Source organism: Homo sapiens, chromosome 5 (assembly GCF_000001405.40).
Source record: "Homo sapiens chromosome 5, GRCh38.p14 Primary Assembly".
Taxonomy (NCBI): Eukaryota; Metazoa; Chordata; class Mammalia; order Primates; family Hominidae; genus Homo; species Homo sapiens.
In genome coordinates, this window is record NC_000005.10 from 441,494 (window position 1) to 468,437 (window position 26,944).

Sequence of the window (26,944 nt, forward strand, 5' to 3'; positions counted from 1 at the left end):
TACCTTTTTTTTTTTTTTTTTTTTTTTTTTTTTTTTGAGACGGAGCCTCGCTCTGTTGCCCAGGCTGGAGTACAGTGGCGCGATCTTGGCTCACTGCAAGCTCCGCCTCCCGGGTTCACGCCATTCTCCTGCCTCAGCCTCCCGAGTAGCTGGGACTCCAGGGGCCCACCACCACACCTGCCTAGTTTTTTTGTATTTTTTTTAGTAGAGACGGGGTTTCACCATGTTAGCCAGGATGGTCTCGATCTCCTGACCTCATGATCTACCTGCCTCGCCTCCCAAAGTGCTGGGATTACAGGCGTGAGCCACGGCGCCCCGCCAAGAAAGACTTCTAATCAATGTTTTGTTAAGAAGTTACTAGACAGTCCTCCATCCAAATTCACTACCAGACACTGATATAATAGTATGAGTCTTTAGTTCATAATACTCAATGTTACTATATTTTTAAGAGTCCTAAAAGCTTTGGCAATTTTGGCAATTTTTTCTTCATTAGTTTCAAAATTTCTTTACAGTCATAATTTCTAACACAATTTTAACTTTTTTACTTTTTTTCATTGCTCAACTTGTTGCTAGATTTTCAGAAATTACAAGGAAAAACTGAAATAATAGAGCCGGGGTCAGTGTCAACATCAGCAGGGCACGGGGCAGGGCTCCCTGTCGGAGTGGCAGTGGGGGCTCCCGCAAGCTCCATCTCCTTCCTGTGTGCCCCTGCCCCATGCTGCTGCCACTTCCCTGGTCTCTGCTGGCTTCCCTGCCACCTTCCAGACCCTTCCTTTCGTGTGGCTAATTTTCAGGAGGGGCAGGGGCACAACCTAGCAGCTCCAACCTATGAAAGACTTTGTCAGTTGGTGTGTCAAAGCCAGCATCTTTTATCAAACAGACAAACCCTGAACGCTCGTGGTTTAGCACGTGCTTCTTCCTCCAGGCGAAGCCAAGTGCTGGCCATGGGCCTCTCCTCCAGGAAGCGACTCAGGACCGGCCCTCTGCAGCGCGGCCCAGTGACCCACATTCATTCTCCAAGACCTGCGCTGCTGGGCCTCTGAGGGGCCCCGGAAACATCCGGTGGCCACCCATCCCACTGGCATTGTTCCCACGAGGGTGCCAATGACTGCGCTCCTGGAGGGGCTGAGTTCGTCTTTGGGTCCAGGAGGTACCCAAAGCCGCTTGTCTGCTGGTGGCAGGTATGACAGACGTTTGATTCCCAACCTTCTCCGCTTTGGTTTCTTCGTTTACTGAATGCCCGGCGCCCACCTCAGTCCGCGGGAAACGAGGGACGCCCCTGCCACACTGCAGTGCGGACGACGAGGCCAACATAAAGACAGCAGGCATCAGCAGAGGATGGAGACAGCGGCTCTGGGGCTGTCTTCTCTCCGCAGGTTGGGAAGGGAAAGGAGAGAAAATGCACGCAGTCACGCTCGGCGGAGGCGTCCAGGACTGCGCCCGCCCTGGGGAAGGGCGCACGCGGTGGTCGCCAGGGGCAGCGAGAGGGCCTGAGTTGGGGGGGCTGGGACGGACAAGAAGCCCCCCACCTCGGCGGTTTCCCTGTCCTGCTGGGGAGCGGCCATGGGGCAGGTCCCCGAGCTGAAGTCGCTCGGCCGGGAGACGAGTACCCGCCCCGCGGGAGGGCCCGGACCCGTGCTTCCGGCGCCGTTGCCGGAAGCGGAAGTGCCCGCGCGCTGTCCACTTCCGGCCGGGACCCCGGAGGCGGAGGCAGCGAAGGCGGAGGGGGCGGCGGGGGCGGCGGCGGCGGCGGCGGCGGCGGCGGCGGCGGCGGCGGCGGCGGCGTAGCCGTAGAGGGTGAGTCGGTGGCAGGTCCTGACGGCCGGCGGGTCCTTGGGAGGTGGTCGCCGTCTTTCATCCTTGCTCTCCCTGTCTCTGGCTTCCGCGGGGGCGCGTAGGGGGAGGCCGGACCGGGACCTGGAGGGCGGGGAGGCCGTTCCGGACCCCGTGGAGTATCCCGCTCGTGCGAGTGTCCTCGGCGCAGGTGTCCTCCCCGGCACATGTGTCCCCCCCAGGCGTAGGTGTCCCCTTGGCACATGTGTCCCCACAGGCACAAGGTCCTTCCTGGTGCAGGTGTCCCCTTAACAGTGTCTTCCCCCACGCCCCAGGCGCTGGTGTCCTTCCTGGCACAGGTGTCCCCCCTCGGAGCAGGTGTCCCTCCTTGGGGCAGATGTCCCTCCAGGCACAAGTGTCCTTCCTGGCGCAGGTGTCCCCTCGGCGCAGGAGTTCTCCAAGGTGCAAGTGTCCCCTCAAGCACAGGTGTCCCTCCCAGGCACAAGTGTACTTCCTGGTGCAGGTGTCCTCTTGACGGTGTCCCCCCCCAGGCGCAGTTGTCCTTCCTGGCACAGGTGTCCCCCCTCGGACCAGGTGTCCCTCGTCGGAGCAGGTGTCCTTCTGGGCACAAGCGTCCTTCCTGGCCTTTAGGAAGCTTTCAAGGTGCAGGTGTCCTCCAAGGTGCAGGTGTCCTCCAGCGGAGTGTCCCCTCCGTGAGGTGCCTCCCAGCACAGGTGTTCCCCTCGGCGCAGGCGTCCCCCCGGTAAAGGGTCCCTCCTGGCAGAGGTGTCTGCCCGGCAGAGGTGTCTCCCTGGCGCAGGTGTCTCCGTGGGTGCTGATGTTCCCCGCAGTAGGGTGTCCCCCCGCTCGGCGGAGAGGCTCACAGCGGAGCCAGCGCCAGGGGAAGGCAGTCAGAAAGGCCCTGGTAGGGGCTGGACCTGGGTCTCTGTTTATGGTCTCTGAGTTCCTCTTTGGCTTCTGTGACCCAAAATCTTTAGTCTTCAGGCTGGGATGGAAGCCTCTGCGGTGCGTTTTTTAACTCCAGATTTTCCCCTTTTCCACATGAGTAGCTTTATTCTGACTCCAAGGCGAGCCCTGCTTCACAGCTCTCCACTCACATTGCCTTGGCTTCCACCCACAGCGTGACAGACTTCACTCCAGCCTTAAGATGGGCGCAGCCACCTCACCGCGTGCCCCAGCAGAGCGGCTGGGGGTCCACTTCTTGGGTTATTATCCAGCCCTATAATCAAAATCATACAGGCTTTAATGTCAATGGAAATGCTGATGATAATGTCCAAACAAAATAAGAAAACAAAAGTGTGCACCTACAAAGTCATATAAGCAGTGGAATCTTAGCTTTAAAAGAAACTCAAAGGGAAAAAACTGGAAGGAAACAAGCCCTGTTGGAGGGAGTTGCCCCTGAGTGTCGGGATTTAAGGGGAGTTGTCCCTGGGTGGCGGGATTTAAGGGGAGTTGCCCCTGAGTGGTGGGATATAGCGGGGGTTACCCCTGAGTGGTGGGATTTACGGGAAGTTGTCCCTGGATTGTGAGATTTAAGGGAAGTTGCCCCTGGGTAGCAAGATTTAAGAGGAGTTGCCCATAGATGATGGGATTTAAGGGGAGTTGCCTCTGGCATCTTTGTATTTTTGTCCTGTCCAGATTTTCTACGTTGGTATGCCAAATTTCATAATCAGAAAATAAAGAGAAAGGAAAGGTTGCAATGTAGGTCCAGATGAAAAAGGAGAAGAGAGGTGTCTGAAAGCATGTGGGCATGGAGAATGAAAAATTCCAGGAGAAGGTGAATCTTTTTAATATTCATGAAGATGAAAATCAGACAGCTGAAGTCAAGGGGAACAGGTGTATCGGATTCCCTCATTGACTGATGCTCACCAAGCAGCTGTGTTAGCTCCCCGAGGAGGACGATGGTGGAGGGAGCATGGAAGGCAGGCTTGCCTGGCATCTGAGCACCTGTGGTCTGCACGGGGCCTGCATAAAGGAGGGAAGCATGATGTTTTCTAGGACAGTTAAAAAAGGGGGAAATGGGGTTTTGGATACCCAAGACAATAATGACTTTTTCTTTTTTTTTCTTTTTTTTTTTTTTGAGACGGAGTCTCGCTCTGTCGCCCAGGCTGGAGTGCAGTGGCGCGATCTCGGCTGACTGCAAGCTCCGCCTCCGGGGTTCACGCCAGTCTCCTGCCTCAGCCTCCCGAGTAGCTGGGACTACAGGCACCCACCAACATGCCCAGCTAATTTTTTTGTGTGTATTTTTAGTAGATACAGGGTTTCACCATGTTAGCCAGGATGGTCTCGATCTCCTGACCTCGTGATCCACCCGCCTCGGCCTGCCAAAGTGCTGGGATTACAGGCGTGAGCCACCGGGCCTGGCTGACTATTGTCACTTTTATAGGGTGGGAATTGTGGGGCTTGTGCTGGGCCTCCAGCTGTGGTACCTGGTCGGGGGAGTTGTCCACGCTGTATTTGTCTTCACTGAGGGTCCTGGTGCAGCTGCCCACAGGCCTGGCCAAGGTGCTGGGGGAAAGCTCCCGAAATGAGAAACCAGCCCTGTCTTGGGGAGAGATGTGCCTTTGAGGCTGACATCTACATGCTGGGTGGTCTGGGACCCACATCTAGAATCTTCGCAATGTCCATGTCTCTCATGCCTGTGAAACGCCCCTGCTCTCCCCTTAAAGGTATAACTTCTGCATGTTTGTGTTACGAAGGTTTGTTTATCTTATCAAGGAGTTCCTCATCCTAGTTCAGCTTTCTTTGAGGTTTCCTGGATTAATGATCTCAGAGGCTCTGCTTGTAGCTCCACTGTGATCACCTGATAGTTTGGGGGAGGTTTTGTACCTAACATTTCTACCGTCCTAACAACTCCTGCAGTGCACAGAGAACACCCCTAGCATGAACAGTGTGAGGATTCCACCAGCTTTTTCACCATGAAGGAGACAGACCGGGAGGCCGTTGCGACAGCAGTGCAAAGGGTTGCTGGGATGCTCCAGCGCCCGGACCAGCTGGACAAGGTGGAGCAGTATCGCAGGAGAGAAGCGCGGAAGAAGGCCTCCGTGGAGGCCAGATTGAAGGTGAGGCCACCTGCCCCACTCCCAGGATCTGTCTTGGGCTTCAGGTTCTTGCTTGACATCACCATGATGATTTTGCTAAACTAGCCTTTATGGTAATGTGCAAGGAGGCAGAGCTGGACTTTCTTGAGCAGTTACTTTCAGCAGTGTATTACCACTCAGTAGCTTTGCTTAGAAGACAGTGGGAATGGTGAAAACACCAAAGGAACAAGCTTTTAAACACCCTGAGGCCGGGTGCGGTGACTCATGCCTGTAATCCCAGCACCTCGGGGAGGCCGAGGCAGGCGGATCACCTGAGGTCAGGAGTTCAAGACCAGCCTGGTCAACATGGTGAAACCCTGTCTCTATGAAAATACAAAAATTAGCCAGGCATGATGGTTGACGCCTGTAATCCCAGCTACTTGGGAGGCTGAGGCAAGAGAATCGCTTGAACCCAGGAGGCAGAGGTTGCGGTGAGCCGAGATGGTGCCATTGCATTCCAGCCTGGGCAACAGAGTGAGACTCTGTCTCAAAAAGAAAAAAAAAACACAGAAACAAAAACAACACCCTGAAAGTGTCTATTAAGTTTTTAAACAATACTGGAGGAAGGAGAAGTAGTCTTATTTAAAGCTCTTCTACAGAGCACCACTAGAGGGCATTTTGTTCAGATTGTTTTAACTCACATTTGACAGAGAGCGGATCTGAAGCTCAGGTGCCGATTCTGTCCTGTGGGTCAGCCGTCCTGGGGCCAAGTGTGGTGCTGGCTGAACAGCAGGAACTCCCCCACCCCAAGCCAGTGAAGTCCTGACCGTTCTCTCTGCCTAGACAAGACCTTTTAGGAACCTAGGATGCCTGGGAGAGCATGGGTGACATCCTTCTGAAGGTACCGTAGCAGGCCACGGCCCAGGGCAGACCCGTGGTAGTGTCCAGGATCACCAGGTGTGAGGCTAGATGAGGAGTGTCCTGACCTTTTCTCATCAAGGCTTTAAAATGCATCATTGTTCTGTTCCCAGGCAGCAATGAAGAAAAAGGTACACTGTGAATCAATTAAATCCTTGTTGATTTTATTTTCTTTTCTGGGTATTGACTGTTTCCTGCTACTCAGTGGCTCTTTCCTGAACTTGACCCTCCTGGGGAAGATTTGTTCTTCAGGAGGCAGCGCATGGCTATCATTGGCTCTGCTCACCCGTGTGGCGTCTCTCTTTAGGCCGCCATCCAGTCACAGTTGGACGGGGTGCGCACAGGCCTCAGCCAGCTCCACAACGCCCTGAATGACGTCAAAGACATCCAGCAGTCGCTGGCAGACGTCAGCAAGGACTGGAGGCAGAGCATCAACACCATTGAGAGCCTCAAGGACGTCAAAGACGCCGTGGTGCAGCACAGCCAGCTCGCCGCAGCCGTGGAGAACCTCAAGAACATCTTCTCAGGTACCAGCCAGACGCCGAGGCACTTGCCCCCACTCACGCTGTCTTTGCATGACTCACTGAGTGCTCTGTGTGCAGTGTGCTTTGCAGCCCGCACTGTAGACCTGTAGACGGTAAGTGTGATTCTTGTCTGCTCAGCGTCTTTTTTTGAACGTGGATGGAAGTGATCAGCTGAGCATGTAAAGGCTAGGAGAAGGCTTGTAGTTCAGTGTCAGGACAGAGGCCCAGAAGCGGGCTGCCCAGCAAATGCAGTGTGGAGGGATTCCCTGGCTGAGTGTCGTTCCCTTGCTTGCGATGTGGCTGTTAGACTCTGTGAGTGCAGAAGAATGAAGACGCCGTGGCCCATGCTTAAAAGGAGCTGCAGGAGAAGCCACCCTGTGCATGGGACAGAGCAAGCAGATCCCAGAGCAGAAGGGTTGAGGCGAGCAGCAGCTCCCAGGCAGGAGGAGAAGCGTGTGTGCACAGGCCAGGGCAGAGGCGGGGCTGAGCGCCGTGGGGGAGTGACCCTTTCAGTCTTCTCCCTGAATGCCTCAGTTAGAAGGATGCCAAGGGCCCTGTAACCTGTCCCTGAACGGTGCCAGCTGGCCCTGGGTGGTGGCTCCCAGCATTTGTGTTCACAGTCTCCTCCTGCTTGCTGTGACAGGAGCTGCTTCCACAGCCTCATCCCTCCCCTTGGTCCCCGCTCTGTGTCAAGGTCAGCAGCATCCTTCCAGTCCCCAACTCAGAAGCCTTGGCAGGGTCTGATTCCTTCCCTTTCTTTGTTCCTGTCTCTGGCCTCTTGGCAAGTTCTTCCTGTTCCTCTACCAGACGTCTCTGCCCTGATGTCTGTATGACACTTCCCCATCCCCAGCCGTCACGTGCCCCAGCTCACCCTTCACAGTGGCTGTGCTGCATCATCTGTGACGCTGCTCGGCTCCTGAGGCCACGTGTGAATTGGCGCGGTTCTCCCCAGCTGCCCACAGCGCACCTTGGTAATCCGTGTCCCGTCCACCCTGTCCTCTCTGCCCTCCTCTCGTGCTTGCGGCTGCAGCATTGCCGAGCACCTTGTCCCGTTGCTTTGTGTGTGCCCTTCTTCCAGGGCATGATCCGTAGGGTCACATGTGTGGCTGCAGTCCGTGTCTCTTTGTGCATGCCCAACACGAACGCCACTGTGCTGCCAACTCAGAAAGCAGCTCTTCTTGGTGACTGTGGGCCGCCTGGAACAGGAATAAAGTCCTCTCGACGGAGTCTCCTTGGTGATGCTCAGCTGGCAGCTTTCTAGTTAATTTCCTCTTATTTCGTATTGGCTGGCTACATTTCCTTCCGGTCTTTTAAACTAATGCCTGATGACCAAAAAGGTGCATTACTGGAATTAGTTTATCCACAGCAGTTGAAAATAATTTCCTTTCCTTGGTGAACAAATGAGCCTGCGTGGTATGCATGTTTTTTGTTACGGATAAATTTTCATTGAGAAGATTGGTTTGGTTGCCTTCAGACTTGTCTCATTGCCTATAACTCAGCAATGCTGTGTACACAGCTCCCCTCCCCCATTTTTTCTTCTTCTAAAATGCATATGTACAGTTTGCCGTCTTAACCATTTTTAAGTGTACAGTTGGGGACTATTAAGAACATTCATATTGTTGTGCAACCATTGCCACATCCGTCTTCAGAACTCTTTTCATCTTGCAGACATGAAAATCTGTACCCATTAAACACTGACTTCGCACCCTCTGCCCCAGCTCCTGGTCACCACCATTCTGCCTTCTGTCTCTGTGAATTGGATGACTCTGAAGACCTCATAGAAGTGGCATCACACATTATCTGTCTTTCTGTGACATGCTTATTTCACTCAGCATGATGTCCTCAGGGGTCTTCTATGCTGTGGTATTGTAGAATTTCCTTCACTTTTAAGGCTGAATAATATTCCATTGTATGGATGGACCACATTTTGCTTATCCGTTTGTCTGTTGGTGGACATTTGAATTGCTTCCACGTTTTAGCTATTGTGAATAATGCTGTAGTGAACATGGGTGTACAGATGTTTTACTTTTATTTCTTTCTGGTATATACACACAAGTGTAATTGCTGGACCATGTGGTAATTTATGTTTAAATCTTTGAGCAGCTGCCAGACTGTTTCCTCCGGTGGCTGCAGCATTTTCCACCATGAGTGTGTGAGGTTTCTGATTCGTCTGCATTTTCATTCTTCTCTTAGGTTTTTAAAAATATCCCTTATGGCTGGGTGCGGTGGCTCACGCCCGTCATCCCAGCACTTTGGAAGGCTGAGGCAGGCGGATCACCTGAGGTCAGGAGTTTGAGACCAGCCCGGCCAACATGGTGAAACCCCGTCTCTACTAAAAATATAAAAATTAGCCGGGCGTGGTGGCAGGCGCCTGTAATCCCAGCTACTCAGGAGGCTGAGGCAGGAGAATCACTTGAACCCAGGAGGCAGAGGTCACAGTGAGCCGAGATCGCACCACTGCACTCCAGCCAGGGGGACAAGAGCGAGACTTCATCTGAAAAACAAAACAAAACAAAACAAAAGTCCCTTATGTTTCCTTTTTTGCCCCATTAATTGTTTAAGAGTATGTTGTTTAATTTCCACAAATTGGTGAATTTTACAGTTTTCCTTCTGATACTGATTTCTAATGTCATCTGTTGAGTTTGGAGAAGATACTTTGTATGATATTTATCTTTTAAAAACCTGAGTCTTAATTTGAGGCCTAATCCATGGTCTTTCCTGAAGACTGTCCCATGTGCACGTGAGAATAGTGTGTGTTCTGTTGTTGGGTGTTCTTTCTGTGTCTGTTCAGTCTGGTTGGTTGGTTGCATTGTTCAAGTCCTCTCTTTCCTTGTTTAGCTTCTGTCTGCTTGTTCTGTCCATTATTGAGAGAGAGATATTGAAGCCTCCGACTATTACAGAACTGAATGTTTTTCCCTTCAGTTCTATCCATTTTTGCTTCATGTATTTTGACGGTCTGTTAGTAAATGCAGAAATATTTATAATTGTTACATCTTCTTGCTGAACCTTCTATTAATACATATGGCCTTCTTTGTGACTAGTTTTTTTTTTTTTAATTTAAAGTATATTTCATATTTATTAGTATAACCACTCCTGTTCTCTTTTGGTTATTATTTATATGGAATATCTTTTTCCACCCTTTTACTTTCAACCTATTTGTGTCTTGGGCTCTAAGGTCAGTCTCTGGTGAACACATAGAGTTGAATCATGTTTTATTTTTTAAATCTATTTTGTCTACCTCTTTTGATTGAAGATTTTAATTAATTTTGCCTACCTCTTTTGATGGAAGAGCTTACATTTAAGTGATTACTGATAAGAAGGGACTTCTGTCATTTTGCTGTTTGTTTTCTATATGCGGTATAACATTTTTGTCTCTTATTTCTGCATTTTTTTTGTGCTTTTGATTATTTTGGTAGTAAACATTTTAATTCCCTTGTTTCTTTTGCGTATATTCTATAGCTGTTTTCTTTGTGCCTACCATAAAGATTACACTTAACATCTAACATTATCTCGCTTCAGTTTGAATTTATATCAACTTAACTTCAATAACACACAAAAACCGTCCCTATATGGCTTCATCTCCACTCCCTTTGGGTTGTTCATTTCACAAAATTACATCTTTATATATCATGTGTCCAAAATCATAGACTAATAATTGTTTTTTAATGCATTCATTTTTAAAAATTAGGTAGAAAACAATGTGGAGTTAGAATCCAAAGTTACAGTATTAGTAGCTTTTAGACTATTTTTTAATGTATTAGTTTCTTTTTTATTTGTCCCTTTTAACCAGAACAAATATTAGTCTCTTAAGTCATGTACGAAACAGAGTGATGAGTTAAAAACTGAAGTGTTAATGATACTAGATTTTACGATTGTCCATGAATTTACCTTTTTTGAGGCCTTTGCTTCTTCACGTGGCTTCCAGTTGCTCTCTAGCATTCTTTCTTCTCAACCAGTGGGACTCTATTTAAGCATTTCTTGCAGGGCAGATCTTGTGGTAACAAGCTTTTCAGCTTTTGTTTATCTGGGGATGTCTTAATATCGCTCTCACTTTTGAATGACCATTTTGCTAGATTTAAGGTTCTTGGTTGACAGTATTTTTCTTTTAGCACTTTGAATATGTCATCCCACTGCCTCTGGCCTCCAAAGTTTCTGGTGAGAAATCTGATCTGCTCATAATCTTATTTTGGAGCCCTTGTTTCTGACAAGTTGCTGCTTTCAGAATTCTTTCAAAAGTTTGATTAAGTTGTATCTTAGTGTGGACCTCTGAGTTCCTCTTGCTTGGAGGTCATTGAGCTTCTTGGATCTTCATATTCATGTCTTTCATCAAATGTGGGGAGTTTTCACCTATTATTTCTTCAAATAATGTCTTGCCCATTTCTCTCTTCTCCTTCTAAAAGTCCCACTAAGCATATGTTGGCCTGCTTGATGATGTCCACAAGGTCCCTGAGGCTCTGTTCACTTTTCTTCAATCTTTTTTCTTTCTGTTCCGGATACTTGATATTTCCCATTGTCCTGTCTTCACATTCACTGATTCTTTCTTGCGCCTGTGCAGATCTGCCTTTGAATCCCTTTAGTGAATTTTTCATTTCATTTATTGTACTTTTCAGCTTCATATTTTCTGTTTGGTTTCCTTTTGGATTTTCTGTCTCATTATTGGTATTTCCATTTTGCTCATACATGTCTTTCTTCACATCTTTAAGTTCCTTAGGCATCTTTAAATCGTTGTTTTAAAGTCTTTCTCTAGTAGATCTGCCATCAGATCTTTTACAGGAACAGTTTCTTATGTTTTCCTTTGAATGGGCCATACTTTCTTCTTTCTTTGGGTGCCTTGTGATGTTTTTGTTGTTGAAAAATGGACACTTGAATCGAATAATGTGATAACTCTGGAAATCAGATCCCCTTCCCAGGTTGATGATTCTTGTTTTTGGTTGTTGTAGGCTCTCTGTGCCAAGGCACAGCCTGAGGTGTGAACTTCAAGGTCGTGTCAAGTCTTTTCTGAGCCTATGCCTTTGCCTGGGCATGCATTGGCCACTTCCGAATTTTTCCTATAAATGCAGTTACTTTTGAATGTCTTCATTCATAAATATCTGGCTTTCAAGAAGGGGAACAGATGAAGGGGGTGGTGAAGACATTGGCCCTTTAAATTCCCTGGAGCTCTGTGGGGGTGAGGAGGGACCTGTGAACAGGGGAAGATGCAACAGTGGCCACTTACCTCTTCGCACCTCTGTGGTCAGAAGCAGCAGTCAGTGATCTGAGTACAGATCTCCGGTGTGGAGGACAGGGTTCTTTTTGCCCAGCCAGGCTGCAGGCTGTGTGCAGGCAGCTTTAGGAACACATCAGCACATGCACAGCTGCCTGCGGGGTGGGAGGTGGGGCCTCGGTAGCCACTGCCCAGCTGAGAGCTGCAAATGACCACAGTTAACCACAGTTTACCATTTATGCCTTTAATAGACTCCAGAGTTCCAAAGATAGTTACCTCAGACACATCCTGCCATTGCAGTTGTTGTTAGCTAGGGAGATGTGGCTTCCTGCTCTGCCGTGTTCCCAGAACACCGCATGCAGGCAGCCTTTTATGTGGTGGTGGTTGTTTATGTTGTGTCTTGTGCCTTCTCCCTAGTGCCTGAGATTGTGAGGGAGACCCAGGACCTAATTGAACAAGGGGCACTCCTGCAAGCCCACCGGAAGCTGATGGACCTGGAGTGCTCCCGGGACGGGCTGATGTACGAGCAGTACCGCATGGACAGTGGGAACACGCGTGACATGACCCTCATCCATGGCTACTTTGGCAGCACGCAGGGGCTCTCTGATGAGCTGGCTAAGCAGCTGTGGATGGTGCTGCAGAGGTCACTGGTCACTGTCCGCCGTGACCCCACCTTGCTGGTCTCAGTTGTCAGGATCATTGAAAGGGAAGAGAAAATTGACAGGCGCATACTTGACCGGAAAAAGCAAACTGGCTTTGTTCCTCCTGGGAGGCCCAAGAATTGGAAGGAGAAAATGTTCACCATCTTGGAGAGGACTGTGACCACCAGAATTGAGGGCACACAGGCAGATACCAGAGAGTCTGACAAGATGTGGCTTGTCCGCCACCTGGAAATTATAAGGAAGTACGTCCTGGATGACCTCATTGTCGCCAAAAACCTGATGGTTCAGTGCTTTCCTCCCCACTATGAGATCTTTAAGAACCTCCTGAACATGTACCACCAAGCCCTGAGCACGCGGATGCAGGACCTCGCATCGGAAGACCTGGAAGCCAATGAGATCGTGAGCCTCTTGACGTGGGTCTTAAACACCTACACAAGGTAAAGCTAACCTGGCGCCTGTGTTGGCTCTTAGGTAGAAGCCGTGTGTGAGAGGGGCCTGCAGCTGCTTGCTGGAGAGCCGACCTCAGGGTGTTGCTCTGGGCAGGTGCTCCGAGCCCACAGCCTTGGTTTCCAGCCCAGGGGTGTCTTCTTTCTGCTCTGCCTGCTGGTGCCCAGCCTCTGGTGTTTGAACACTGTTGTGCTTGGGAGGGATCTCTGCTCTTGGCCTCCAGCCCCCGTTGAGCTTGACAGGGTGCAGCTCTGGGCTGGGCCTGTTTCCTGTGCTCACCGTGTGCTGACTTGCTTCCTTGCAGTGACACCCTGAGGCAGGTGTGTTGTTACCCCATTTTACAGGTGAGGACACATGGTCCCAGGCGGGGCTGGGACTGGCACATGGCCACCCCACTGGGGAGGAGACCACTACATCACCTCCCTGGCTTCCAGCATCCCGGGTTTGGTTTCTCTTCACCAATATCCTATAGCAGTGAGTCTTTCAAAAATAAACAGTTACAAGTCTAGATAGTTCGAGGAAACTCCATCATCCTTTTTGTATCCTAGTACGAGGTTTTGTCACTTCACTTAAGGGACCATGAACCACTCTGTGCGTGGATTAATTTGAAGTAGTGTTGAAAAATGGTGCAGTGGTGGGGGTATTCTGAAATTCTTTAAGATTAGGTAGCCGAAATGAAAATTTATTTCAATTTTCCATGGTTTCATGGTTAGAAAATAATATTAAGTAATGTATTGGAATTTCTTCTTCTTCTTTTTTTTCTTCCGCCCATCTTGTCACTGCAGTGGAGAAATTGAATAAACCTCATTTTTTTTTTTTTTTTTTTTAGCAGTAAGGCATATTTTTTTGTGTGCTTTGTTTACTGGTATCTGCTTATAGAGAATTTGCATTTCAATACAGAAGGACAGAAGAGAAAGGAAGCGCCCCCTGCAGAGAATGGTCACCGTGACGCTCTGTGCAATGGTGGCTCTCTGTGCAACCGTGGCGCTCTGTGCAACTGTGGCTCTCTGTGCACAGCCCTGGACTCACCTCCCCTGGCTGCCGCTCATCCTCATGGCCGCCCATTCTGTAGCCTTGACAGTGCAGGTCTCCCCCTCCGTGCCTGGTGTGTGTCAGCAGCCCATGAGGCAGGAGGCAGGGGACACGGCCAGTGAGTGGGAAGCTGGATTCCAGTCCCATCCCTGGGCCCTCCCGGGCCATGGCCACTAGGCTGGGCTGTGCATGTGTGCACCTTGCACAGTTTGTGTCTTGATTTTGTCTTTCCACGTTGTGAGTGTTTTTCTGTCCTTGGGGAGTCTCGTGAGTTCCATCACCCCGGCCTTTCTCAGGGGAGGTTGAAGTGCTCCACTAGAAACATTCTCACACGGAATTGAGGTTCTTGGGAAAAATAATCCAGATTAAATAAAAGTCTTTTAAAATGTGCAGAATTTTAGGAAGTACTTTTTCACTTAGGAAGCTCTCGGATTTCTTATAGTGGACTGGCTCTTAATCATTTTATTCAGTGTTACTCTGAGAACGTATTTACGGAACATAGCATGAGGCGTGTGAGTTGAAAGAATTTTCTGAGTGGTCAAACCTTAGACTTAAAAAAACTTTTTAATTTTAATTTTTGTGGGTACATAGTAGGTGTATCCCGGCTTCACGCCATTCTCCTGCCTCAGCCTCCCGAGTACCTGGGACTACAGGCGCGTGCCACCATGCCCCGCTAATTTTTTTGTATTTTTAATAGAGATGGGGTTTCACTGTGTTAGCCAGGATGGTCTCAATCTCCTGACCTCATGATCCGCCCGTCTCGGCTTCCCAAAGTGCTGGGATTACAGGCGTGAGCCACCATGCCCGGCTGATAATAACTTTCTAATGAAAACTTTTCCTGAAATGTAGCATGTGTTTCCTGTCTTCTGGACAGTAGACCTCACGTAGTTTTGCCTGTTCTTGCGGATGCGTTTTTATCAGTAATGTCCTGTATTGTACGTTCCAGTCATCACCGTCTGCAGAGCATATTGATGTGGACTGCAGTGGCTTGTTTCCAAAGGACAGCACAGCTGCCCCTCCATACTCAATGGGGAGGGATTCCAGGACCCCCCTTGGCTATCAAAATCCTCCGTAGCCCAAGTCCCCTTTATAAAAGGGTATAGTGTTTGCACGTAACCTGCGTACATTCTCCTTCATGCTCTAAATCATTTCTAGATTACTTATAAGACTAAATACAATGTGAATGCTATGGAAATAGTTGTTCTATATTTTTTGAAATTTTTATTATTTTTTATTGTTGTTTTTCCCAAATACTTTCAGTTTGTGTTTGGTTGAGTCAGTGGACGTGGCGCCCGTGGCTGTGGGGGCGGCTGTGCTTGTCGTTTTGACTGAGTACGTTTGTTTATTCAGCGCCTCCTGTTTGCCAGGCCCTGCCTCGGCTCTGCAGGTGCAGTGAATAGAACACACGTCTTCCCCACAGGAAAGGCTCTTCCACATTTGAGCCCCAGCACCTCATGAAGCTGGCGCAGCAGGGTGAAGCTGGGGTTGGAGGGACTCAAGTGGTCTCGGAGCCAGTGGGTGATGCCACAGAGACCCCAAAGCCCTCGGCCCCTGCCCTGCACTTTCCCCGGTTGGAGGGACTCACGCAGTCTGGGAGCCAGTGGGGTGATGCCACAGAGACCCCAAAGCCCTCGGCCCCTGCCCTGCACTTTCCCCTGAGCTGTGGGCCGGCTGTGACCAGGAAGTCTCCAGGGTGGTGGACATTCATGTGTCAAGTGAAACAGTCTCGGCACACTTGGGCATGCTCTTCTGTGTCTGTCGTGGTTTGTCACTCACATTCCTGGTTCCCCCATAGTACTGAGATGATGAGGAACGTGGAGCTGGCCCCGGAAGTGGATGTCGGCACCCTGGAGCCATTGCTTTCTCCACACGTGGTCTCTGAGCTGCTTGACACGTACATGTCCACGCTCACTGTGAGTAGGGCTGGCCTGCGTGCCACAGACCACCGTGCTGGTTATATGAGTAACTAGGGCTTGGCAGCAGGCAGGAGGCAGGGGGGAAATGCCTTAGCGTTGACTTCCTAGGATGCATTGCTCAGTTGCCCGGGCTCTGCTTCCAGGCCTTGACAGGTCAGTTTGCTAGAAGAGGAGAATGGCCCCTTCTCTGGGCCTGGATCTGAAGCTTGTCCTCTGCTGGAGACGTGAGCCTGTGCCCTACTCGGCAGGCTGGCCAGGGCCCAGAACGTCTGAACCGTGTGTGGCAGCACCTGCCAGGCTCTCGGCTCTGAGTCCCATGGTTGGGGGGGTCCGTCAAGGACCAAAGGGCGAGTCCATTTGCAGCCTGGTGACCACCAGGTGGTCTCAGAGTGAGAAGAGGAGGTCAGCAGGGTCTGCTTCTTAGACAAGGGTGCGTCCACCTAGCAAGGCAGCATTATGACCAGAAGCCGAGGTGTCCTCAGGAGCTGGGGAAGGAGCGCTGTCTTCTCTTGGGACGTGAGCTGCTGTGGTTGCTGAGTCTGGGCATGGGAACAGGCCTGACCGGACCTGGTCGGCCTCATTCTCTGTGCACCTGGGATTCAGCGGCCTTGTCCTCCAGCATGAGGTGCAGCCAAAAGGGCATCTAGTTTCTTCTCCCTCTTTATCTGTACCAAGGGTTCCAGTTAAACCCCTGCGGGCTGCTGTGGTCACTGCCTCCCATGGGGGTGGCTCCTGGGTCCCTGCTCTGGAGTCCTCATTTGAGAAAGAGGACGCTGGTGCCCTGTGTCTGGTTTGTGGAGCTTGTGCATGCAACTGACCAGGTAATTGGCATGACCCTCAGGCACCTGCTCTTCTCTCTTCTCTTCTCCATGATGCTGAACTTTCTTTAGTCAAACATCATCGCCTGGCTGCGGAAAGCGCTGGAGACAGACAAGAAAGACTGGGTCAAAGAGACAGAGCCAGAAGCCGACCAGGACGGGTACTACCAGACCACACTCCCTGCCATTGTCTTCCAGGTACCACCTGCAGGGGACTGGCACAGTTCCGTTTCCTAGGTGGATAGTGGGACCTGTAGGTTTTACAAAGTGACACAGATACCTGGGATCTTCATCCACAGAGTGTAGTAAAAATATTGAGAGCCCTGCCTGGTGCATCTAAGTCCTCTCCTCTCTCTGTCTCTTACTCTCTGGAGCTGCAGAAACCTGGGATGATACTTACCAAATAGTTTTGCCCAAGGTCACTTTACTTTTCTGACCTGGTCTTTATGGGTTTGGACTACAGCCTAATTGTATGTTATTTATGTGCGACTTTCAAATGTGAGTTTGTTTGGTCGATATCCAGGATTTGTCCTAAAAAATGGCACATGATTGAGTTTAAACAGGTGGATTTTGGGAGCGTCCATTATTTTTTTTGAGACGGAGTCTCACTCTGTTGCCCAGGCTGGAGTGCGGTAGCACAATCTTGGCTTACTGCAATCTCTACCTCCTGGGTCAAGGCGTCCATTAGCTTTTAAAGTTGCTTTCCTGTTCATTGGTTAAGGTTCTAAGTATTAGACCGACCTGCATTTTTACCACGGATTCACTTTCCAACGCCCAAGCCTCACTAGGTGTTAGAACCGGTGTGTTCTTACCACGGATTCACTTTCCAGTGTCCGACCGCCCTGTGTCCCGTTTTTCCTGCTCTTTTTTTCTTTTGGCACATCATGTGTTTTAATTTGAGTGGCATTGCTGAGGGATGGAGCCCCGTTGTGTTAGAATCCTCACTCAGGACTCTAGTTAGGCAGGAGTGAGGGCTGGCGGGTGACATTTCTCTCTGAATGATACCGTTAGTTATTGACAGGCTAGTCCAAACCCTTTCCTTTGTTTGGAAACAGATGCCGTGAGAAACTGTGAGGAGAGCTCTGTCCCCTTGCCCTTCCTCTGCCTGGGTCAGCTCCTGGCAGGGCCTGGCACACCCCAGGTCCAGATTCTTAGGAACTCTGCATCATGACAGTCATGGGGCCAGGGAGGGTGAGTCAGGTGCCTGAGGGGCGCCATCCCGGGTGGGGCCTCACTCCACACATTAAAACTCCAGTCACGTAGTGTGAGGACAGACATGGCCCCCGTGGGAGAAACCAGTTTGCCAGGAATTAAGAAATGAGTCACTTGGTACTTTCCCAGGTGAGAAAGTTGTTTTTTTTTTTTTTAAACTAACTTTGTTATTTTTCACGTGGTTTCATTTTTTTTTTCTCTGAATTTGGACTATCCTAAATGCCAGTTAGCAGATGGAGGTTTCATATAACAGCAAACCTGCACTCTTAGTATACTCCTGTAAGATTATACCAGAATTCATAAGTTCTCTGATTTTTAGATGTTTGAACAGAATCTTCAAGTTGCTGCTCAGATAAGTGAAGATTTGAAAACAAAGGTACTAGTTTTATGTCTTCAGCAGATGAATTCTTTCCTAAGCAGGTATGTCTTTCTGCCAGTGTGCTAATGTACACATTGAATGTTTTTAAAAATTAGAAGCAAAAATTTTTTGATCCTACTATGCCTGTTACTAAGAAGAAATTAAGCCGGTAGATTCCCCACGTGTCACTCCTGTGTTCTTCAAAAGCAAAGGGAGGGAGCGGAGCTTCTGGATCATCTTCCCCTTGAGTGGACCACACACCCCCTTGGGCTCCCAGAGCTGATGTGTTGTGACGTCCTTAGCGATGCGCCGGATGACACCAACTCTGTTGGAGTCAGGCTCCTCCTGTTGCCTGTTCTGAACTTCCTTGGGGTGGGGGTGGCGACTCCTGCCGCAGTGCCTACTTCGTAGTGGGGAGGGCGTCCTCGGCTGAGCCGGCCCTCCTCAGAAGGGCTCCAGGCAGCCATGACCTGGCACGCCACCCTCCCCATGAGTTGTTGATAATTTTCAAACCTATACAGATGTGGAAAAGAGTTTAAAAAACTGTGTTCACCCATCGTGCAGTCCAGAAGCCATCCCCTCCAAAGCCCCCTTGCCTAATCTGTTCTCCCCTGCCCATTCCACTCTCTCTGCTGAAGTACCTTCAGGCAAACCCCGGGCGCTGTGGCATGGTATTTGCGACCCTCTCTGAAGCCACTGCAGTGCCATCAAGTCAGAGACACATGCACGGTGACTCCGTGGGGTCATCCGATGCCAAGTCTGCGTTTGGGTTGTATCTCAAGTGTGTCTTTTGATAGTTGTGAATCAGATTGGACTGCATCGCATGAGGGCTTAGGGTTCCTAGGCCTCTGGTAAGCCGAATAGCCCCTTCCCTCCTTCAGCTGCTGGCTTGTAGATCTCTGTAGAGAGATGTCCCTCAGCCTCCTCCTCAGTCTACTGTCAGCTCCCGAGCCAGATGCTGGCTCTGCAGGCTTGGATCCCACTTATTGGTGAGTGTGCCTTCCACGATGTGGCACATCAGGAGACATGGCGTCCATAGGTCCTGTCCTGGTGGCTTAGGTACTACAGCCACGCCGCCCACTCAGAGTTCCCATTTGCCATCCATCGATAGGGGTAATGCCCAAGTCCCCACTGGCCGCCCATCCACAGGGGTCACAGCTGAGTCCCCACTGGCCCTCTTCCATAGAGGTCTTAGCCGAGTCCCCACTGGCCAAGTCTTAGCCAAGTTCCCATTGGCCCTCTATCCATAGAGGTCTTAGCCAAGTCCCCACTGGCCAAGTCTTAGCCAAGTCCCCATTGGCCTTCTATCCACAGAGGCATGGCCAAATCCCTATTGGCCATCTGTCCATGGGGATCTTGGCCTGAGTTTGTTTCTTTGGAGGTCATTGTCATTTATGAGGTTAGATTCTTCTATAAAGAGACCGTTCCTTGATCACCCTCAGCTTTTTGATGACCTGAACCACACTTTGGACAGAAATGCTAACTTCTTTCCCTTTAATTGCCAGCTTTCAGTGTGCTCCTTTCTTAACATCTCTTAAAAATAGAAACGGTATTTGTTGTATGATTCTTCCACTCCCATAGGTGCTTGAGCATCCCCACAGTAAGTTTAAAAATAGAGCGTGTCACTACCTCTGTTTGTTTTCTTGACATTTCAAGTGTCTGTTTTTAATTGGATGATTTCAGGGACAGTTTCTGAAAGGGACATTTTACCTGACATTTGATGAGGTTCCTAACACTATGAGTTTCTAGGTGAAGTGTATAGTAAATAAAATAAATAAAATAAGATAATGCTTTCCCAATTCCTCACAATCAACTATGTAGTATATTTTTACAATCAGAATGCTGAACCATATTTTTTTTCCTTTTTTCAGTTATTATTTTTTACCAACTCCTCAAAATTTTTATATTTTTTAATTGTTTTTAAGAAACAAGGTCGGTCAGGCACGGTGGCTTACGCCTGTAATCCCAGCACTTTGGGAGGCTGAGGCGGGTGGATCATGAGGTCAGGAGTTCGAGACCAGCCTGGCCAATGTGGTGAAACCCTGTCTCTACTAAAAATACAAAAATTAGCTGGGCATGGTGGGGCACACCTGTAGTCCCACCTGCTCAGGAGGCTGAGGCAGGAGAATCACTTGAACCCAGGAGGTGGAGGTTGCAGTGAGCCAAGGTCTCACCACTGCACTCCAGCCTGGGTGACAGAGCAAGACTCTATCTCAAAAAAAAAAAAAGAGACAAGGTCTGATTAGGTTACCCCGACGGGTAGCTCACTGCAGCGCAGCCAGCAGCCTTTAACTCCTGGGCTCAGGTGGTCTCCCTGCCTCAGCCTCCTAATGAGCCATATTTTAAAGCCTGAGGTGAAGTTATTTTTTGATCCATTTAAAGTAATCAACCTCTCTGTCCTTCCATTAGTCTGGATCGTCTAAAGATTGTTTTATTTTTAGAGGCTCATCCGGTCAGATGTTAGTGATGTGAAATTTCAGGCCAGGCGTGACGTCAGCGTGGCATTTGAAACAGCTCCATGTTGCCCTTAGTGCTGTCTGACCGAAGCCTGTCTGTCCTCAGATATAAAGATGAAGCGCAGCTGTATAAAGAAGAGCACCTGAGGAATCGGCAGCACCCTCACTGCTACGTTCAGTACATGATCGCCATCATCAACAACTGCCAGACCTTCAAGTGAGTGTGGCCGGGCGCTGTGGCGGGGGAGCGGTGGAGGCCGGCCTGCCCAGCCGCTGTGTTGAACCTGAACCCTTTCCTTGCAGGGAATCCATAGTCAGTTTAAAAAGAAAGTATTTAAAGAATGAAGTGGAAGAGGGTGTGTCTCCGAGCCAGCCCAGCATGGACGGGATTTTAGACGCCATCGCGAAGGAGGGCTGCAGCGGTTTGCTGGAGGAGGTCTTCCTGGACCTGGAGGTGGGCCTGGCTCTTTCCTCCTGCCGTTTTCTGGGCCGAAGCCCAGTGCTTCCTCACTGCCCTCTGGGACACAGGCTGTGAACTGTACCGTGCGGATGCCGTCTGGGGAGCCGGGCTGTGCACTTGCATTCCGGTCAGATCGCTTAAAGCGCCTCCGTTTTCGGTGACGCTGCTTCGTATGATGCAGGGTCCTTCTTACGCACAATTCAGTAGATTCACCCTGTAAGTATTAAAGACATCAGACAATTTAGTGGATTACAAAATAGAAACCGATATGTAGGGACCTGTCAAAAAGTCAAATTGAGAGTGCACACACACACACATCCTCACATAGATCAGTTTCGCTTTTGAATATAGGTACACACGCAAAAATCATTAATAAAATGAATTTAATATTGTATCAAAGGCATAACCTACCATGAAATGTAGGGGTTATTTCAGAAACATAAAGATGGCTTAACATTATTTAGAGGTATTGGCAGAAATCAGGATATATTTAAAAAATAAGACCTTGTAGGCCGGGTGTGGTGGCTTACGCCTTTAATCCCAGCACTTTGGGAGGCCAAGGTAGGCGGATCACCTGAGGTTGGGAGTTCGAGACCAGCCTGACCAACATGGAGAAACCCCATCTCTACTCAAAATACAAAATTACCTGGGTGTGGTGGCGCATACCTGTAATCCCAGCTGCTTGGGAGGCTGAGGCAGGAGAATTGCTTGAACCCGGGAGGTGGAGGTTGCAGTGAGCAGAGATCGCGCCATTGCACTCCAGCCTGGGCAACAAGAGCAAACTCCATTTCAAAACAACAACAACAACAAAATAATAAGACCATGGCCATCTGGTGGTCCTGCTGGAAAGGGGTTCCTGGGATGAGGGGTGGGATTGGTTGCTGATTCATCAGTGTCTGGTTGTGCAAGAGAACAGAAATGTGTGTGGAAGTGTCCCCAAAGAGGCAGACACTTGTAACTTTCGCAAATATGACTTAGCAAGAAGAAAATATTTACATTTGAAATTATTTCAAAATTTAAAAAGAATATATAGAAAAATGGGCAAAAGACATGAACGGCCACCTCACATTAAAAGCAACACCAGTGTCCTCATCGTGAAACTAGACGCCCGATCTTATCCTCGAAGCAATGAATGCTCAACAGGACCTGCTGCTCAGCAGGATGGCAGGAGCCGGAGACGTGGATGCTGTTCAGGCTTGTTGAGGGTGTGGGAAAAAGGGGCTGTTTGTATTCTGTGTGGGCCTGAACTGGGTTGGGTTTTTGAGGGCAGCTTGGAAATACAGCCATTGTAGTTTTAATCTGTAACTTTTACTGGAGTTTTAATTTGTACACTTCTATTGGAGTTTTAATTTGTATACTTTTATTGGAGTTTTAATTTGTATACTTTTATTGGTTTTAATGTGTATACTTTTTGACTGAAAAATTCAACTTTAAGGAATTTCATCAGAATTATACAGATTCACTGTTGCATTATTGCAAAATGTGAAAAAAATTTAAATGTCCATCAATAGAGAATTGGGCAAATAAATACGATAAATATATGTAGCCACTAAAGGTAAAATGTATACATGCACAGATATTTCCATCTTTAACATGTCATTTTGGGAAGCTCATCACAGAAATTGTAGTATAAATCTCCTATACTTAAAGTACACATTTGCAGATTATATAATCAAATTTTTACCTGAGTGCGCATTGCTGTTGTAATTAGAAAAGCAGTGTGACGTAGCAAAGATGCACGGAAGTGCCTCCCTCCCACACGCACTCAGTGCTCGTGGGACGTTGAGGTGAGGAAGTGCCTCCCTCCCACGCTGCACGCAGCTCTCGTGGGGCGTTGAGGTGAGGAAGTGCCTCCCTCCCACACTGCACGCAGCTCTCGTGGGGCGTTGAGGTGAGGAAGTGCCTCCCTCCCACATGCACTCGGCTCTCGTGGGACGTTGAGGTGATGATTTCTATGATCTGTTTCTGCTTTTCAGCAACATCTGAATGAATTGATGACGAAGAAGTGGCTATTAGGGTCAAACGCTGTAGACATTATCTGTGTCACCGTGGAAGACTATTTCAACGATTTTGCCAAAATTAAAAAGCCGTATAAGAAGGTAAGAAGGTGGGACCTAGTTCCCTCATCACCTTGACGCTAGGGCTCACCTCTCACCCTGCTCAGAATTCAGCATCCAGCGAGTCCCTCCGTGAGTGAACGTTCACTTGTTGTCCTATCAGCCCAAGGGAGGCAATAGGCTCTGCGGACGCCACCTCCCTGGGACGGGGCTCTGGTGAGAATGGCCGGGGCCCTGTGGCATGGCCCTCGAGGTGGAGGGAGCCATGGTTCCCGGAGAGGCCCGCGTGCCCCGTCTTAGCTCCTTGCCTTCCACTCACTCCCTGAGGCCCCAGGGATTTCTTTCCGCTTCAGACCCTCCTTCCTGCAGGACCCAGGTTCCTCTTTCCTCCAAAGTGCCTGCCGCGTTTTCCAGATGCTGCGGTCGTTATCAAAGGACAGCAGCAGCCACTGACACGGGCCTGTCTGTGGACCGAGTGCTCATGCGCGGCACTGCCTCGCCCGCGTCTGTCCTGCTGGGGGCCGGAGCTGGCCTGGTGCGGGGGTCCAGGTCACCGTCACTGTTCCCCCACTGAGCCCCCGCTCCTCCTCTGCGGTGAGATGCCAGAGCCGTGGCGGAGCGAGGAGGAGTGGGCTCAGAGCCTCCGGGGAGCCACCGGGAGCCCCAGCCTGGGTTTCAATGAGGGTGCTCCTGGCCGCCAGAGCCGTGGAGCCTGCCGCTGACCGCGCGTGTCTCCCCAGAGGATGACGGCCGAGGCGCACCGGCGCGTGGTGGTGGAGTACCTGCGGGCGGTCATGCAGAAGCGCATTTCCTTCCGGAGCCCGGAGGAGCGCAAGGAGGGTGCCGAGAAGATGGTTAGGGAGGCAGAGCAGCTGCGCTTCCTGTTCCGGAAGCTGGCGTCCGTGAGTGTCGCGCAGGTCCGGGCTGGAGAAGGCCTGTCGCTCCGCGGCCCTGTTCAGCCTCCACCCCGGGACTCGGGCCAGTAGATGGGAGTGTGTCGTGTGTTTGTCAGGCGGGGGGAGCCTGGGTCCAGGTCCTGCCTGACCTTGTGGTTGGACACGAATGTCCACAGAGGTAGACGCGCCGGCCCCGCCGGCTTCCCGAGGCCGCCCACAGCTCCCTGACGGACGCTTCCCAGTCTGTCCTGCGCTGCGAGGTGCTGGCTGCCTCCCACGGTCTCGCCCTCACCCCAGACCCCTGGCCCTGTCACTGAGCTTTCAGAGTAGATCCTGAGGAGTCAGGTGAAGAGGGAGGTTCCCAGTCAGGAAGGGGCTCAGCCAGAATCCAGCTGCTCCCAGCGCCGCGGGACAGCCGAGGGCGGCTCCTCACATTGCTGCTGCCTTCCAGGGTTTCGGGGAAGACGTGGACGGATACTGCGACACCATCGTGGCTGTGGCCGAAGTGATCAAGCTGACAGACCCTTCTCTGCTCTACCTGGAGGTCTCCACTCTGGTCAGCAAGTATCCAGACATCAGGTAAGGGATGCACGTCTTAGAATCCTGCCTTAGAATCCTGGAGTGGAGCGGCAGGTCCCTCCTTCTGTCTGGGGCGGGTGGGGCTCCTGGTTCGCAAGTTCAGCCCTGCAGCACGGCAAGGGTTCAGGTGCGGCACAGCGGGGCCCAGGCGCAGGGAGCAGAGCTGCTTCTGTGCTGCCTTCCACCTGGCCTGGGCTACAGTGTGGGTGGGTGGAGCTCGAGGGGCACATCCCGGGTGGGGACAGTGGGGTGGGGGCGGGGCTGTGACAGCTCTGCTGTGTGTGGTGGGGAAGATTTGGGCTGTGGAGTGGCCTCAGTGGGGCGAGTTTAGGAAGTTTCCTCTGTGCTCATGGTGGACTCGGGAGGGCCCAAGTGCAGCTTGGACCAGACACCTTCCGAGGACGTGATTACAGGGAGTCCCCAGTACCAGGTCCAGGGAAGGGGACCCACGCACGTCCCCCCTCCACCATGCTGGCTCCAGGCCCCAGGCCAGCCTTTGCGGCCCCTGTCTCAGGGCACCTGCCACTTCCCCAAGGGGCCACCTCCATGGCTGCAGCCGCGTCACCTCCGTCCCATCATCTCGCTGGTTAAACGTGGAAAAACGGGGTCTTGAGCTCTCCACGGTCTCCCCTCTGGTTGGGCCGGAACAAAGATTTATAAAAGCAGTGTTGAAAAATCTTTCTGCAATTGGATTGAGAAAAGACAGAGTAAGATGAAAATGCAGGCTTGTCTCCCGCTGAAAAGGGAAAGGTGCAATTTGTCTGCAGCGGTCCTCACCCCCTGTGTTCTGTCAGCTGGGGTGGTGAAGCCGTGAGTCCCTGGCAGCGTGGTGCATCACAGGGCTGCTAAGTGGGCATGGGCTGACATCTCCCCATCCCCAGGGATGACCACATCGGTGCGCTGCTGGCTGTGCGTGGGGACGCCAGCCGTGACATGAAGCAGACCATCATGGAGACCCTGGAGCAGGGCCCAGCACAGGCCAGCCCCAGCTACGTGCCCCTCTTCAAGGACATTGTGGTGCCCAGCCTGAACGTGGCCAAGCTGCTCAAGTAGCCTCCGCCGGCCTGCCCTGCTCGCCCCTCCACAGCCTCGGTCCCTGCCTTTAGAAACGCGGGACAGCTGATTGCTCTCCTTGGCCACACGTGCTCCTTTTAGCTGCACGGCCTGTCTTTAGGTGCCAGTGTGATGCACCGGGTGTGCGTCGAGTGAGCGTCCCGAGGCCACGTGCGGAGGCCCCTCACTGTGCTGTCAAAGGCCTGTGGGTGCAGGGCTCTGCCGCACAGCCTCTCTTGGGTGCTTGTTTGTTGCAGTGGTTGAAAGTGTGTGGGGCACAGAGGACGTGCACCTCCCTGCCCTCCTCCTCCCTGGGCCTTCACCGCACCCCATCTGCTTAAGTGCTCGGAACCCCGTCACCTAATTAAAGTTTCTCGGCTTCCTCAGAGAAATGAAAACGCCATGCATTCTCTTTTCCAGTTAAGGTTTTCTGACTACTGATCTAGGATTGCCCAGGAACTGTTGTCAATCACAGAGTAAAAGTCTCCGCTCAGCCTGGAGGGCGCCCTCCTGGTCCCCTCCTGTCTGACATCCCCTCAGCCTAGAGGGCGCCCTCCTGGTCCCCTCCTGTCTGACATCCCCTCAGCCTAGAGGGTGCCTTCCTGATCCCCTCATGTCTGACATCCCCTCAGCCTGGAGGGCGCCCTCCTGGTCCCCTCCTGTCTGACATCCCCTCAGCCTGGATGGCGCCCTCCTGGTCCCCTCCTGTCTGACATCCCCTCAGCCTAGAGGGCGCCCTCCTGGTCCCCTCCTGTCTGACATCCCCTCAGCCTGGATGGCGCCCTCCTGGTCCCCTCCTGTCTGACATCCCCTCAGCCTAGAGGGTGCCCTCCTGATCCCCTCATGTCTGACATCCCCTCAGCCTGGATGGCGCCCTCCTGGTCCCCTCCTGTCTGACATCCCCTCAGCCTAGAGGGTGCCCTCCTGGTCCCCTCATGTCTGACATCCCCTCAGCCTAGAGGGCGCCCTCCTGATCCCCTCATGTCTGACATCCCCTCAGCCTGGAGGGCGCCCTCCTGGTCCCCTCGTATCTGACATCCCCTCAGCCTGGAGGGCGCCCTCCTGGTCCCCTCCTGTCTGACATCCCCTCAGCCTGGAGGGCGCCCTCCTGATCCCCTCCTGTCTGACATCCCCTCAGCCTGGAGGGCGCCCTCCTGGTCCCCTCGTATCTGACATCCCCTCAGCCTGGAGGGCGCCCTCCTGGTCCCCTCCTGTCTGACATCCCCTCAGCCTGGAGGGCGCCCTCCTGATCCCCTCCTGTCTGACATCCCCTCAGCCTGGAGGGCGCCCTCCTGGTCCCCTCGTATCTGACATCCCCTCAGCCTGGAGGGCGCCCTCCTGGTCCCCTCGTATCTGACATCCCCTCAGCCTGGAGGGCGCCCTCCTGGTCCCCTCGTATCTGACATCCCCTCAGCCTGGAGGGCGCCCTCCTGGTCCCCTCCTGTCTGACATCCCCTCAGCCTGGAGGGCGCCCTCCTGGTCCCCTCCTGTCTGACATCCCCTCAGCCTGGAGGGCGCCCTCCTGGTCCCCTCCTGTCT

The 26,944-nt window shown here is 51.4% G+C and overlaps 1 protein-coding gene and 2 long non-coding RNA genes across 4 annotated transcripts, besides 10 other annotated features; 2 read left to right on the plus strand and 1 right to left on the minus strand.

Annotated features, from left to right (window-relative positions):
• Positions 1-341: 341 nt before the first annotated feature.
• Positions 342-1,667, minus strand: EXOC3-AS1 (EXOC3 antisense RNA 1). Its single transcript, NR_126522.1, has one exon. It is a non-coding gene; the product is annotated as an EXOC3 antisense RNA 1 (long non-coding RNA).
• Positions 1,128-1,177: an enhancer, noted in NCBI's record as "active region_22290". NCBI's record gives its function as "activates an Ori minimal core promoter by ATAC-STARR-seq in GM12878 lymphoblastoid cells {active_cell/tissue: GM12878}" and the evidence as "EXISTENCE:reporter gene assay evidence [ECO:0000049][PMID:35858748]".
• Positions 1,198-1,307: an enhancer, noted in NCBI's record as "active region_22291". NCBI's record gives its function as "activates an Ori minimal core promoter by ATAC-STARR-seq in GM12878 lymphoblastoid cells {active_cell/tissue: GM12878}" and the evidence as "EXISTENCE:reporter gene assay evidence [ECO:0000049][PMID:35858748]".
• Positions 1,388-1,777: a silencer, noted in NCBI's record as "silent region_15872". NCBI's record gives its function as "represses an Ori minimal core promoter by ATAC-STARR-seq in GM12878 lymphoblastoid cells {active_cell/tissue: GM12878}" and the evidence as "EXISTENCE:reporter gene assay evidence [ECO:0000049][PMID:35858748]".
• Positions 1,683-25,797, plus strand: EXOC3 (exocyst complex component 3). Of its 2 annotated transcripts, NM_007277.5 has the most exons (13): positions 1,683-1,797; positions 4,657-4,856; positions 6,040-6,259; positions 11,877-12,558; positions 15,396-15,513; positions 16,407-16,532; positions 17,866-17,966; positions 20,467-20,577; positions 20,664-20,814; positions 22,797-22,919; positions 23,618-23,779; positions 24,225-24,352; positions 25,234-25,797. In NM_007277.5, the coding sequence occupies exons 2-13, from the start codon at positions 4,713-4,715 to the stop codon at positions 25,403-25,405; spliced, it is 2,238 nt and encodes a 745-aa protein (NP_009208.2). In that variant the 5' UTR covers positions 1,683-1,797; positions 4,657-4,712; the 3' UTR covers positions 25,406-25,797. The 2 variants fall into 2 exon arrangements, with proteins under 2 accessions (NP_009208.2, XP_047272639.1); XM_047416683.1 differs by lacking the exons at positions 17,866-17,966; positions 20,664-20,814; positions 22,797-22,919; ... (1 more) ...; positions 24,225-24,352; positions 25,234-25,797 and having other exon boundaries at positions 20,467-20,570.
• Positions 2,078-2,207: an enhancer, noted in NCBI's record as "active region_22292". NCBI's record gives its function as "activates an Ori minimal core promoter by ATAC-STARR-seq in GM12878 lymphoblastoid cells {active_cell/tissue: GM12878}" and the evidence as "EXISTENCE:reporter gene assay evidence [ECO:0000049][PMID:35858748]".
• Positions 2,258-2,347: an enhancer, noted in NCBI's record as "active region_22293". NCBI's record gives its function as "activates an Ori minimal core promoter by ATAC-STARR-seq in GM12878 lymphoblastoid cells {active_cell/tissue: GM12878}" and the evidence as "EXISTENCE:reporter gene assay evidence [ECO:0000049][PMID:35858748]".
• On the plus strand, positions 5,328-5,899 carry LOC124900930 (uncharacterized). The gene is made up of 2 exons (XR_007058671.1): positions 5,328-5,715; positions 5,846-5,899. It is a non-coding gene; the product is annotated as an uncharacterized LOC124900930 (long non-coding RNA).
• Positions 5,529-5,608: an enhancer, noted in NCBI's record as "active region_22294". NCBI's record gives its function as "activates an Ori minimal core promoter by ATAC-STARR-seq in GM12878 lymphoblastoid cells {active_cell/tissue: GM12878}" and the evidence as "EXISTENCE:reporter gene assay evidence [ECO:0000049][PMID:35858748]".
• Positions 16,807-16,976: an enhancer, noted in NCBI's record as "experimental_85954 CRE fragment used in MPRA reporter constructs". NCBI's record gives its function as "activates a minimal promoter by MPRAs in K562 erythroleukemia cells, with activity observed for both the introgressed and non-introgressed 5:458500 variant alleles {active_cell/tissue: K562}" and the evidence as "EXISTENCE:reporter gene assay evidence [ECO:0000049][PMID:34662402]".
• Positions 17,034-18,233: an enhancer, noted in NCBI's record as "BRD4-independent group 4 enhancer chr5:458642-459841 (GRCh37/hg19 assembly coordinates)". NCBI's record gives its function as "activates an origin of replication core promoter dependent on BRD2, P300/CBP, MED14 and CDK7 cofactors, and independent of BRD4, by STARR-seq in HCT116 cells {active_cell/tissue: HCT116}" and the evidence as "EXISTENCE:reporter gene assay evidence [ECO:0000049][PMID:35650434]".
• Positions 17,612-17,711: an enhancer, noted in NCBI's record as "active region_22295". NCBI's record gives its function as "activates an Ori minimal core promoter by ATAC-STARR-seq in GM12878 lymphoblastoid cells {active_cell/tissue: GM12878}" and the evidence as "EXISTENCE:reporter gene assay evidence [ECO:0000049][PMID:35858748]".
• Positions 17,732-17,841: an enhancer, noted in NCBI's record as "active region_22296". NCBI's record gives its function as "activates an Ori minimal core promoter by ATAC-STARR-seq in GM12878 lymphoblastoid cells {active_cell/tissue: GM12878}" and the evidence as "EXISTENCE:reporter gene assay evidence [ECO:0000049][PMID:35858748]".
• Positions 25,798-26,944: the final 1,147 nt, after the last annotated feature.